This window comes from Homo sapiens, chromosome 4, assembly GCF_000001405.40.
Source record: "Homo sapiens chromosome 4, GRCh38.p14 Primary Assembly".
NCBI classification, from domain to species: domain Eukaryota; kingdom Metazoa; phylum Chordata; class Mammalia; order Primates; family Hominidae; genus Homo; species Homo sapiens.
In genome coordinates this window covers 76,317,331-76,331,211 of record NC_000004.12, presented here as the reverse complement: position 1 = coordinate 76,331,211, position 13,881 = coordinate 76,317,331, and the positions used below count along the sequence as shown (strand labels likewise).

Below are 13,881 nucleotides of genomic sequence, written 5' to 3'. Positions count from 1 at the left end.
ATGGGCTCTGTCCTCAAGTTGCTTACAATCGTGAAGTCTGTCTTTTGACGGACTGCCTGGAAAAACTTACTTTTGTCTTTTCTGTTTTCACCACCTAAATAGACAGAGATATCCGAGCCCTCTATATATATTAACAATTATGAATGTGAATTCTACTGTTAAGATCTAGTTAGAATAGGGGCTAATTCATTGCTGTATCTTCAGCACCAAGCATAATGACTGCCACCTAGTAGCCATTCAGTAAATATTTGTTTAGTGAATGGATGAAGATAGTATTATAAATATTTTCATACTGTCTCTGCTGCCTGATCAAAATACAGTGAATTTGAATCTTTCTAAACACAGTTGTCCCTTGGTATCCATGGGGGATTTGTTCCAGGACCCCTGCAGAGACTAAAATTTACAGATGCTCAAGTCCCTTATATAAAATGGCATAGTATTTGCATATGACCTACACACATCTTCCCATATTCTTTAAACCATTCTTAGATTACTTATAATACCTAATATAATGTAAATGCTATGTAAATAGTTGTTATATTGTATAGTTTAGGGAATAATGACAAGAAAAAAGGCCTGTACATGTTCAGTATAGATGCAACCATCTTTTTTTTCCCCAAGTATTTTCAATTCACATTTGGTTGAATCTGTGATTGCAGAACCCATGGATGCAGACTAGCCAAGTGTAAATCTTTCTTGTAGCCTAAAAGAAATGTTGTTTTTATTTCCGTCTCACCTGGGTATATGATACTATATCATACCTATTAATAACCACAACTATCAACTGCATATGTTTTATTCTTATATTTTTATTCTTAATAAAAATTCTTATTTTCCAGTTGATTTAGACTTGTCTCATTAGTCTAATCTCATGTATGAGGGAAACATTATTTTCCCTTAGAAATGAAGACTCAGATTGCATAGCAACTTGTCAAAGTCATACTGCTTGAAAACAGTGGAGCTCAGGTTTGAACTCAGGTTTAGCTGGCTCCTGAGCCCGTGTTTATGACCACTGCTTACTGCCTCTGAGTACCCACACTGAGCTACTGGGGATGGAGCCCAGTCCTAGGCATGGGACAAATAGAAGCTACTTCCCTGAGATAATTAAAGCTCTGCAGTAGAGTTTCTTCATGACTAGAAAAATCTGCTTCCTTCAGCAATGAAAGTACTGTAATACTTCTTTATTCTGAAATTATGAAAAATAACTTTTTCTTTATTATGAAAAATAACTATATGCTCCAAAACGTCATTGAGAAAACATGTTTTACATTTCAGTAACTGGGTTAAGAAAATACAGCTAGATTCTCATATCTGCTTATGCATTTAATCTGTTGTGATTAAATGCATATCAACTATCATGGAGCTTCTGGAGAACTCCACTGTACACTTGTGAGAGACTGAAAGTTATAAAGCAAATAACAACCTGATATCATAATGAAAGTAGTTTTGACCTCACAAACCTCCTGAAAGGGAACCACTTTGAGAACTGCTGCCATAATATTCTCATATTGGTACCCAACTCACAGAGAACTATGTAGTTTACTTCAACTTATATGTCTTATAGTTTTGTACACTGATACTACTAATGTTATGAGTTGTTGTTGTCATTGTCATTTATTTATTTATTTGAGACAGAGTCTCTCCCTGTCGCCCAGGCTGGAGTGCAATGGCGTGATCTCGGCTCACTGCAAGCTCTGCCTCCTAGGTTCACGCCATTCTCCTGCCTCAGCCTCCTGAGTAGCCGGGACTACAGGTTCCCGCCACCTCGCCCGGCTAATTTTTCTTATTTTTAGTAGAGACGGGGTTTCACCATGTTGGCCAAATGGTCTCTATCTCTTGACCTCATGATCCACCTGCGTCAGCCTCCGAAAGTGCTGGGATTACAGGGGTGAGCCACCACACCCGACCTAATTTCTTTATTTTTAAATGAGTCATTAAGATTGCATCTCTTAGAATCCATGAACAGATGACGTGGATTTTATAGCTATTAGTATGCAAAAATGGATTTTCTAATGAAGATTATATATTTTCATTCTGTAAAATGTTCATGGATTCTGAATACAAAAAGATAATGCAACTTTGAACCTACCTCTTAGAGTATTTTAGGACTTTAGGGTTATGATTGCCATCTTGAGGTTATATTTTAAACCATCACATTTGCCTGTGTTCACTTGCTTCTATCTATGAATCTTAGTACTGTGTTTGTGAAATGGAATGCTTGCATTACCATTCTTATGCTTCCAGAGAGCCAGTCACATTACACGCAGGAGACAGGGAAGATCCCTCTGGTTGCTTCACATTCACATCTGCAGGTGAGTTTCCAATGAAAGCACAGAAATAGGCCCTACAATGTCTCCCCATTTCCACGAGGGTAAAAGCCAAAGTCATTGCAGTATCTTCCAAGTCCTTTTTAACTCTCTGGCCTCATTTCCTGCTACTCCCTCTTTCATGCATTCTGTTTTATCCACTCTCAAACTGTTCCTTGAACACGTCAGGCAGCTTCCATGTTAGGGCTTTTATGCCCTGTTCCCTTATGTTGCTAAAACCTCAGCTCCTTTAAAGCCTTTGCCCAGGTGTCACTTTCCCAGTGGGACTTAATTGTCATCACCTCATTTAAAGATCACAACCAGCCAGGTGTGATGGCTCATGCCTGTTATTCCAGCACTTTGAGAAGCCAAGGTGAGTGGATTGCTTGAGCCTAGGAGTTCAAGACCAGTCTGGGCAACATGGCGAAACCCTGTCTCTAAAAGTAAATTAAAATAAAATAAAAATCACGATTTTCCCACACTTCCAGTGCTCCTTCTTCCTTTTATCAGTTACTCTTAGCATCTTCTCACATACTGTGTCACCCCTGTGAGACAAGAGCTGTGCAAGGGCAGATGTCTTTAGCCATTTGGTTCCTGGATATATCCCAGGTGCCTGGAGCCTTCCTGGCACATAGCAGGTGCTGAATAAATATTTATTGAATAGACAAAAGGAAAAGCAGAAGAATCAAGATGGACAGCTCTCCATAAAATTTCCAAAGAATTATAGATAAGATGATCTCCATTAAAAATTAAAAAGCTCCAGAAAGAAGAGATTGAAAGTCAACACAATTTGTTGATAAGCAAAGTGGCATAACTCAGACTAGAAATGGAAGAGAAAGATTAAAAACATCAGAGGAAAAAGTTTTAGAAAATGAAAAATAAAATAGATGTGACTGAAATTATAGCCATGGAGAAAATTACACAAAAGGAATTTTTAAAAATAAGGACCAAAAATAATTATACAGAATATGTTAGATTTGGAAGGCAAAGGCAAACCAACAGACACGTAATTGGTCTTCCTATGGAAGAGAACAAAATAAATGAGAAAGAATGAAACTGTGATGATGATTGTTCAACAAAAATGTAGTTATAAATCTGGACTGTAAATTGTAAATAGAGAAAATTGAGGTAAGGTAAAAAGAGATGGGAGAAAGATAAATTTTCATTGTTTTTCTTCGTGTCAATATACAGTCATGTGCTGCGTAATGTTTTGGTCAATGACCATGTCATATACAACAGAGGTCCCATAAGATTATAATAGAGCTGAAAAATTCCTGATACCTGGTGATGTTGTAGCTATCATAATGTCATACCACAGTGTGTTACCTTTTCTATATTTGGACATATTTAGATAAATAAATACTTACCATTATGTTACAGTTGCCTACAGTATTCAGTACAGTAACATGCTCTACAGGTTTGTAGCCTAGAAGCAATAAGCTATACCATATAGCCTGTATACCATCTAGGTTTGTGAAAGTATACTCTATGATGGTTGCACAATGACAAAATTAACTAACAACGCAATTCTCAGAACATATCCCCATTGTTAATTGTAACTATATTTATAATCAAAATGTAATATTCTTAAATAAAATAATTGCAAATTCTTAATTTTTAAATAATCTTTGGCTTGGGGAAGATCTTTGAGGAACTAATATTTTGAAGAAAAGAACATTTATGTGAAGTTAATTCCTTCAGGTTTACTTCGTTTATATGTTTTTTACTATTGTTTCAGTGATTACTCAGGACAGTAAAACATTTATCCTTGCCTTATTATATTGATATAAATGAATGCTTTTACCTTTTCTCATACATTGGCAGTACCTTAGAATATATTAACTGCATTCACTATCCTTCCAACTTTCATACAATTGTCATATATTTTAATTAAAAATATGAATTATAAAAATATGAATACCACATTTAATTATTTGTATTGTTTTGTACAGTTAATATTCATTTAGATATACCCACATATTTACACTTAACTTTCTGGTATCATTTTACTTATGCCTTTAAAGCTTCTTTTAATGTAAATCTGCTGGTGATAAATTCTCTCCATTTTTGTTTTTCTGAAATTGTGTTTATTTCATCCTAATTTTTGAAGAATATTTTTGCTGAGTATAGAATTCTAGATTGGCATTTTTTTCTTCACTTTGAAGATATCACTTTCCATTGTTTTCTAGCTTTCATTGTTTCTACTAAGAAGTCAGCTGTAAGTTTAATTATTGCTTATTTAAATATAGTCTGTTCCTTTTTTCCCCTTTTGCTTTAAGATTGTTTTTGTTTTTGATTGGTTTGTTTTAGCAGCTTTTATTCATTTGTGCAGATATGATTTTTTCATGCAGATAAGAAGAATTCACTTGGAGTTTGAAGTAATGCTGCTTGAATCTATGGAAGTCTATGCCTGATAAGCCCATTATCTGGACCCTATAGATCTATGTCGTTATTTATATTTTTTTCTTCTTGATTTTCTGCCATATCATCTTGTCTCCTTATATGCCTGGTTATTTTTATTGTATGACATATTATATATGAAAAGTTGTACAGATGATTTCATGCTATGAATGAGATTACCTTACTCTAGGGAGCATTCATGCTTGCATTTGGTAGACAACTAAGGCATCCAGGTCAATTTAATCACATTAGAAAGAGGATTTGAAGCTAGACCTCAGGATCCCAAGGGCAGGTCTAATTTCTGTTCACCCTTATTCCCAAGGCGTAACCCTTTTCAGTTCCAACCCCAAATCTTGGGTATTTAGAAGAATGTCCCCCTGTCCCTCCACCATTGGGAACATTTTCTCATGAAAGCTTGACTTTTTGAGAGGTGCAGTTTGCTATTTTTAATTAATTCTGTCCTTTTACTTTTATTCTTGCAAACTTTTAGCAAGTCCATCTGTGAAAAACTCAGCTTCTCGTTCATTCAATTCTTCTCCTAAGAAGTCTCCAGTGCACTCACTCCTAACTAGTTCAGTTGAAGGTTCAATAGGTTCCACATCACAGTATAGATCTGCCAAACCTATTCATTCATCTGATTCTGTTAAAGGTAAGAAAGATCTGATATCATTGACGTGATTAATTGATTTCCTACACTGCTGAACTGTAAGTTCTTTTTACTCAGAATTAAGGTTTTGCATGCTGCTCTTATGTGTAAGCTCTAACTGATTCTGTGTAATTTAAACAGGTCTTTTTTAAATAGAACAGCTATTGTGTACCATGCAAGCCTTAGTAAATGTACATAGATATTATATGTAAACATTATCTCTCTTTTTCTCTAAATGAATAATGAACATTTTTGCCTCTATTTTATTAAAAGATTTTGGATCCTCTTTTAAATGCTGTGAACTACTTTTCTTTCTTATTTACATTCTTTGAAATCATAGCTCTTATTCAGTCTCTGCCTTAGTGAGTATAAGTGCATACCGTACAAACTTTTCAAAATTTTCTCATTTTTAATATTTTAAGTTAGTTTGTTATTTGATAAGACAAATGAGAAAAAAATGTTTGATTTAGAATAAATGCCTGGTAAATAAGTGAGAGTTAAATATTATGTGTTGAATGAACTTGAAATATTTCTCATCATGTATGACAGTGACCAAACAACCCCAGTGTTCTATGACATCATTCCCTTTTGTAAGAGATAAACTAGACAAAGTTGTATTATCATCAAGTTATTTCTTAGTCTTTTGAAATTCTATAGCTTACACATTTCTAGATCCTAAAAAATACCTAATCACATGTTAGTACATTTTTTACATCTTTTTTTCTGTACTTGTGTCCTCTTTCATCTCTTATGTTTCTAAGCTATTCATTTACTATCTTCTTCAATTTTAACTGTGAAATTACTTTCCTGTTCTGTGGTGGGCAAGTGTGTGCAAACCTACCCACAAAGACTGAGGAAGCTGAGAGGCTGAAGAAAGAGACTGACAAATCCAATTTCTCAGAAAGAAACATTTAATAGGGACTTAAGATTGGAGCCATGTCTGTGTCTCTGCAGCAGTGAAACAAGGTGGTGGATCCTTGTACCACTATCCCCGCAGATGCAGGGCCTCTATACCATAGGTAAAGGGTATACTTGCCTCAGAAAGGATGAACAGGACAATTGCTTAAGGGTAGAATTTATGGCAGGTACTTGCTACCTGCCGTACAAGGAAACTGGAAATCTTGGATGCCTTCCTGGAACTGGGATTAATCAGAAGTCAACTTGGCAGATTAGCATCCAAGATGGAGTTGCTTCGGCCTCCATGTTACCTTTTAAAGCTGTGGTTATTGCAGGAATAGAGCAATGCTGCTTGACACTTCATTATTAATTTTTGTTACATAAAGGCATGGCATTTTCTTCTCACCCCCAACCCCCCGCTTATTGTCAGATACTCATCAAACCTATATTTTATATTATTTATGTTAAAAACTTCTGGCTGGGCGCTGTGGCTCATGTCTGTAATCCCAACACTTGGGAAGGCTGAGGTGGGTGGATCACCTGAGGTCAGGAGTTCAAGACCAGCCTAACCAACATGGAGAAACCCCATCTCTATTAAAAATACAAAATTAGCCGGGCGTGGTGGCACATGCCTGTAATCCCAGCTACTTGGGAGGCTGAGGCAGGAGAATCACTTGAACCCGGGAGGCAGAGGTTGCAATGAGCTGAGATCCCATGATTGCACTCCAGCCTGGGCAACAATTCTGTCTCAAAAAAAAAAAAAAAAGAAACTCTCCAAGAAACTGTTTCTCATTCTCTTAAACTGGAGTAATTCCTAGATAATTGCCTTGAATGCTGTAATGAAAAGGGTATTTTTTGATAAGAAAATTAACCATTAAAAATATTGTCAAATTTATACAGCTAGGCAGGGATTAAGATCAAAATTTAAATCTTCAGATTGTCAATTAAGTACTTTTAGAGGTTGACAAAACAGCATACTGGTAAGAGAATAGCTTACATGCTCCTAGGCCTTCTTTAGTTGCCACTGCCACATTTGTTCTAGGTTCAGTGTGATCATGTTGGCATCCATGCCACCCTCTGCCATCATACAATACCATTCACGTTAGGTGACAGAACTAACGTGGGCACTGGCCTCACATACCTTGAAAATGGTGCAGTTTCTATATTAGATCATACTCCCTCAAACCCCAAGTTAATCAAACTACTCAGGCTTGGTACGAAAAGCTGTCATTTATAATGCAGAATGCATCATTAAACTTGAAGTGTTCTTTTCACCCATCTTATTTAATATTATGTAGTTAAATAATGATACATCGGATTGGTTTGAGCACAATCAAATAGGCTAGCATTGCAATATTTAGATAAAACTCATTTTTCTCTCTTTTAAAATCATGTTTTAGAGTTTCCTTTAAGTGTTATAGCTCTTTTAGAATTTGTCATGAAAAAAAGTTCCCTTTATTTTAAAGAAAAATTGTTTAGCCTTTAATTCAAAGATTTCTAAAAGGAAATGTTGAGTAGACTTTTAATATCACATCTAAGCAATTTTCTAATAGATTCACAGTCTCCGCCAATAGAAACAACAGGAAAAACATGCAGGAAGCTTCAGAACAGACTAGAAAGCTTGCAAACTCTGGTAGAAGATTTACAGCTGAAGAACCAAGGTACAGTGTACGTTTTTGGAGAGATCTTCCTCGCTCATGAGAATGTTCACCTTCTTTTCAGATTAAGCCTCCTGTCTATAGACCTGCTGAAAGGGTATTGAATTAACAACTGTAAACTGAAGTCTAAATATAAGGGTCTTAACCATTAATAGCCCCTGGATTAATTGTGTGACCATGGGCAGGTCACTCTTGCCCTGCTATACTCTCTTATCTAATGGGGATGACAATCCTGCCGGCCATCCCTCAGGAGGAGTGGTTTTGAGGTTCTGAGTGGCTTGTCACATGGGACTTTCCCACACACCGTCTTTCTTGTTGCTATTAGGTCTATAGATAAACATTTATACAATAATAGCCAAGAAAAGAGTATAGTCAATAGCAAGAAAGCAAAATAATGGTATTTATCTTTACACAGGATTTAAATTAGCATAGCACTATAAGACACTATGCCACCCAACGAATCACAAAATAAAAAGAATCCACTTCTAAAAATGCTAAAACTATTTGAATAAGAAACTGTTCTAATCTGCAGATGACCAGCAGCTTTTTGGGCATAAGTTCTAAGTACCATGAATATGGGGGAGCCCTCATGATTCATGCTTTTATAACCCGCCTTCATGAATCCAGGAGCCTTTATCAGAGAGAAATGAATTTTGAAGTACATTTTTTATGCCATCTTTTCTATCCCTAGAAAACAATAAATTGCTGGGTAAAGGAAAATACTATTCTAAGAACGAATCTTCATAAAATAAACTTAACCTTATTAATAATAATAGTTGCTATTTACACTTAATTGAGCACTTCCCAACTGTGTGCCAGGCCTTTTACTCAGAGCTTCACTTGCGTTTTCTTCATGTAATTTTCACAACAACATTGGGAAATGGGTACTGTTATTACAGCATTTGAAAATGAGGAAACTGAAGATAAAAGAACAGTCAATAAATTCCAAGTCACAGTGAAGAGTAGATCGGGGACTTGGCCTCTGCAATTTCTGACTCCAAAATCCACATGTTTTTAATATAGTAAGGCTTTAGCAAATTGTTGTTGAAGAAAATTCCAAGTCCCTGTGATAACCCAAGACCCCTATGTATATGAACATTAGGAAAAGCATTTGGTTTTAAGTTTATTGTGAATTTGTGGGGTTTTAGCATTTTTTTTTAAATTTCAATAGTTTGGGGGGAACATGTGGTGTTTAGTTACAGGGAAAAGTTCTTTAGTGGTGATTTCTGAGATTTTGGTGCACCCATCACCCAAGCAGTATATGATGTATCTTTTTTCCCTCACCCACCTCCCACCCTTCCCCCAAGTCCTCAACGTCCATCGTATTATTATTATGCCTTTGCGTCCTCATAGCTTAGCTCCCACATATAATGAGAACATACAATGTTTGTTTTTCTTTTCCTGAGTTACTTCACTTAGAATAATGGTCTCCAACTCCATGCAGGTTGCTACAAATGCCATTATTTTATTCCTTTTTATGGCTGAGTAGTATTACATGGTGTGTATATATATACATATATATATTTATTATATATATATAAAAAATATATATATTTACATATATATGTGTACACACCATGTAAATATATCATATATATATATACACACACCATGTAAATATATATATATATAAAAATATACATGGTATATATATGGGGGAAGAATGGGAGGTGGCTGAGGTGTGTGCATATATATATAATATATTATATTATATATATATACACACCATGTAATAGTCTCTCTATATATATAGATAGATCGATATAATTTTCTTTATCCACTAGTTGGTTGGTGAGCATTTAGGCTGGTTCCATATTTTTGCAATTGTGAATTTTGTTGCTATAAACATGCGTGTGCAAGTGTCCTTTACATATAATGACTTCTTTTCCTCCAGTAGTGGGATTACTGCATCAAATGGTAGTTCTACTTTTAGTTGTTTAAGAAATCTCTGTACTGCTTTCCATAGTTGTTGTACTAGTTTACAGTGTAAAAGTGTTCCCTTTTTACCACATCCACACCAACATCTGTTGGTCATATTTTTAACTTATGTCATATTTTTAAATTATGGCCATTCTTGCAGGAGTAGGTAGTATCATACTGTTGTTTTGATTTGCATTTCCCTGATCATTAGTGATGTTGAGCATTTCTTCATATGTTTGTTGACCATTTGTGTATCTTCTTTTGAGAATTGTCTATTCATGTCCTTAGCCGACTTTTTAATGGGATTATTTGTTTTTTTCTTGCTGATTCGATTGAGTTCCTTGTAGATTCTGGATATTAGTCCTTTGTCAGATGCACAGTTTGCAAATATTTTCTTCCACTCTGTGGGTTGTCTGTTTACTCTGCTGCTTATTTCTTTTGCTATGCAGAAGCTTTTTAATTTAACTAGGTCCCATCTATTTATCTTTGTGTTTGTTGCATTTGCTTTTGGGTTCTTGGTCATGAACTCTTGTCTAACCCAATGTCTACAAGAGTTTTTCTGATGTTATCTTCTAGAATTTTTGTGGTTTCAGGTCTTAGGTTTAGGTCTTTGACCCATCTTGAGTTGAAGTTTCATTCTTCTACATGCCACTTGCCAATTATTCCAGCACCATTTGTTAAATAGGGTGTCCTTTCCCCACTTTATGTTTTTGTTTGCATTGTCGAAGATCAGTGGCTGTAAATTTTTGGCTTTCTTCCTGGGTTCTCTATTCTGTTCCATTGGTCTATGTGCCTATTTTTATACCAGTACCATGCTGTTTTGGTGATGATAGCCTTGTAGTATAGTTTGAAGTCAAGTAATGTGATGCCTCCAGATTTGTTCTTTTGCATAGTCTTGCTTTGGCTATGTGGGATCTTTTTTTTGTTCCTTATGAATTTTAGGAATGTTTTTTCCAGTTCTGTGAAGAATGATGATGGTATTTTGATGGGAATTGCATTGAATTTGTAGATTGCTTTTGGCAGTATGATCATTTCCACAATACTGATTCTACCCATCCATGGGCATGAAATGTGTTTCCATTTGTGTGTGTTGTCTATGATTTCCTTCAGCAGCATTTGTAGTTTTTCCTGTAGCGATTGTTCATCTCCTTGGTTAGGTATATTCCCAAGTATTTTATTTTTCTTGCAGCTGTTATAAAAGGGGCTGGGTTCTTGAATTGATACCAAGCTTGGTCATTGTTGGTGTGTAGCAATGGTACTGATTTGTGTACATTGATTTTGTATCCTGAAACTTTACTGAATTCATTTATCAGATCTAGGAGCTTTGTGGATGAGTCTTTAAGGTTTTCTAGGCATAGGATCATATCATCAGCAAACAGCAATAGTTTGACTTCCTCTTCACCCATTTGGATGCCCTTTATTTCTTTCTCTCGTCTGACTGCTCTGACTAGGACTTCCAGTACAATGTTGAATAGCAGTGGTGAAAGTGGGCATCCTCGTTTTGTACAAGTTCTCTTGGAAAATGCTTTCAATTTTTCCCCTTTCAGTATAATGTTGGCTATGAGTTTGTCATAGATGGTTTTGGTTACCTTGAGGTATGTCCCATCTGTGCCGATTTTGCCGAGGGTTTTCATTATAAAGGGATGCTGGATTTTGTCAAATGATTTTTCTGCATTTTTTGAGATGATGATATGATTATTGTTTTCAATTCTGTTTGTGTGATGTATCATATTTATCAACTTGAGTAGGTTAAACCATCCCTGCATCCCTGGTATGAAACCCACTTGATCATGGTGTATTATCTTTTTGATATGGTGTTGGATTCAGTTAGCTAATATTTTGTTGTGGATTTTTGCATCTATGTTCATCATGGACATATATATATATATATATATATATATATATATATATATATATATTTTTTTTTTTTTTTTTTTTTTTTTTTTTTTTTTGATACGGAGTCTTGCTCTGTCACCCAGGCTGGAGCGCAGTGGCATGATCTCAGCTCACTGCAACCTCCACCTGTCGGGTTCAAGTGATTCTCCTGCCTCAGCCTCCTGAGTAGCTGGGATTACAGGCACATGCCACCATGCCTAGCTAATTTTTTTTTTTTAAGATGGAGTCTTGCTCTGTTGCCCAGGCTAGAGTGCAGTGGCACGATCTCAGCTCACTGCCAGCTCTGCCTCCCGGGTTCACACCATTCTCCTGCCTCAGCCTCCCAAGTAGCTGGGACTACAGGCGCCCACCAGCACGCCTGGCTAATTTTTTGCATTTTTAATAGAGACAGGGTTTCACTGTGTTAGCCAGGATGGTCTTCATCTCCTGACCTCAAGATCTGCCCACCCCAGCCTCCTAAAGTGCTGGGATTACAGGCGTAAGCCACCGCGCCTGGCCACTCCCAGCTAATTTTTGTATTCTTAGTAGTGATGGGGTTTCACCATGTTGGCCAGGCTGGTCTCGAACTCTTGACCTCGTGATCTGCCCACCTTGGCCTCCCAAAGTGCTGGGATTGCAGGTGTGAGCCACTGCACCCGGCATCATCATGGATATTGGTCTGTAGTTTTCTTTTTTTGTTATGTCCTTTCCTGGTTTTAGTATTAGGATGATACTGACTTCATAGAATATGTGGATTTTTGCATCTGTGTTCATCATGGATATTGCTCTGTAGTTTTCTTTTTTTGTTATGTCCTTTCCTGCTTTTAGTATTAGGGTGATACTGACTTCACAGAATGATTTAGGGAAGATTCCCTATTTCTTTATGTTTGAAACAGTTTCATTAAGATGGGTACCAATCCTTTTTTAATGCCTGATAGAATTCAGCTGTGAATCCATCTGGTCTTGGACTTCTTTTTGTTGGCATTTTTTTAATTACTGTTTCAATCTCACTACTTGTTATTAGTCTCTTCAGAGTTTCTGTTTTTTTTCCTAGCTTAATCAGGAGGGTTGTATATCTCCAGGAATTTTCCATCTCCTCTAGATTCTCTAGTTTGTGCACATAAAAGTGTTCATAGTAGCCCTAAATGATCTTTTGTATTTCTGTGGTATAAGTTGTAAAATCTCTCATTTCATTTCTAATTGAGCTTATTTGGATCTTCTATCTTCTTTTCTTGGTTAATCTCACTAATGGTCTAATAATTTTATCTTTTTAAAGAACAAGCTTTTTGTTTCATTTGTCTTTTGTATTGTTTTTTATTTATTTACTTCAATTTCATTTAATTCTGTTCTGATCTTTGTTATTTCTTTTCTTCTGCTGGGTTTGGGTTTAGTTTGTTCTTGTTTCTCTAGTTCCTTGAGGTGTGACCTTAGAGTGTCTATTTGTGCTCTTTCAGACTTGTTTATGTAGGCATTTAAGGCTATTAACTTTCCTTTTAGCACCACTTTTGCTGTATCCTAGAGGGTATGATAAATTGTGTCACTAGTTTCATTCAGTTCGAAGAATTTTTAAATTTTCATCTTGATTTCATTATTGATCCAAAGATGATTCCAGAGTAGATTATTCAATTTCCATGTATTTATATAGTTTTGAGGGTTCCTTTTGGAGTTAATTTCTAGTTTTATTCCACTGTGGTCTGAGAGAATACTTGATATCATTTTGCTTTTCTTAAATTTGTTGAGACTTGTTTTGTGGCCTATCATTTGGTTTACCTTGGAGAATGTTCCATGGGCTAATGAAAAGAATGTATATTCTGCAGTTGTTGGGTAGAATGTTCTGTAAATATCTGTTAAGTCTGTTTGTTCTAGGATATAGTTTAAGTTCATTGCATTGTTTAGGTGCATTGTTTTTTGTTGTTGTTGTTGACTTTCTGTCTTGATGACCTGTCTAGTGGTATCAGTGGAATATTGAAGTCCTCCACTATTATTGTATTAGCATCTATTGCATTTATTAGGTCTAGTAGTAATCATTTTATAAATTTGGGAGCTCCAGTGTTAAGTGCATATATATTTAGGATTGTGATATTTTACTGTTGGACTGATCCTTTATCACTATATAATATCCCTCTTTGTCTTTCTGAACTGTTGTTGCTTTAAAGTGGGTTTTGTCTGATATAAGACT

At 35.8% G+C, this 13,881-nt stretch overlaps 1 protein-coding gene across 13 annotated transcripts in view; it reads left to right on the top strand.

Annotated features, from left to right (window-relative positions):
• Window positions 1-13,881, top strand: part of CCDC158 (coiled-coil domain containing 158) — a 108,831-nt gene that overhangs the window by 90,658 nt on the left and 4,292 nt on the right. For all 13 annotated transcript variants that reach the window (XM_011531911.2, XM_011531917.2, XM_011531909.3 and 10 more), the window contains 3 exons: window positions 2,245-2,312; window positions 5,197-5,355; window positions 7,803-7,910. In XM_011531911.2, coding sequence (XP_011530213.1) covers window positions 2,245-2,312; window positions 5,197-5,355; window positions 7,803-7,910 — 335 coding nt within the window. The remainder of the gene's footprint in view (window positions 1-2,244; window positions 2,313-5,196; window positions 5,356-7,802; window positions 7,911-13,881) is intronic.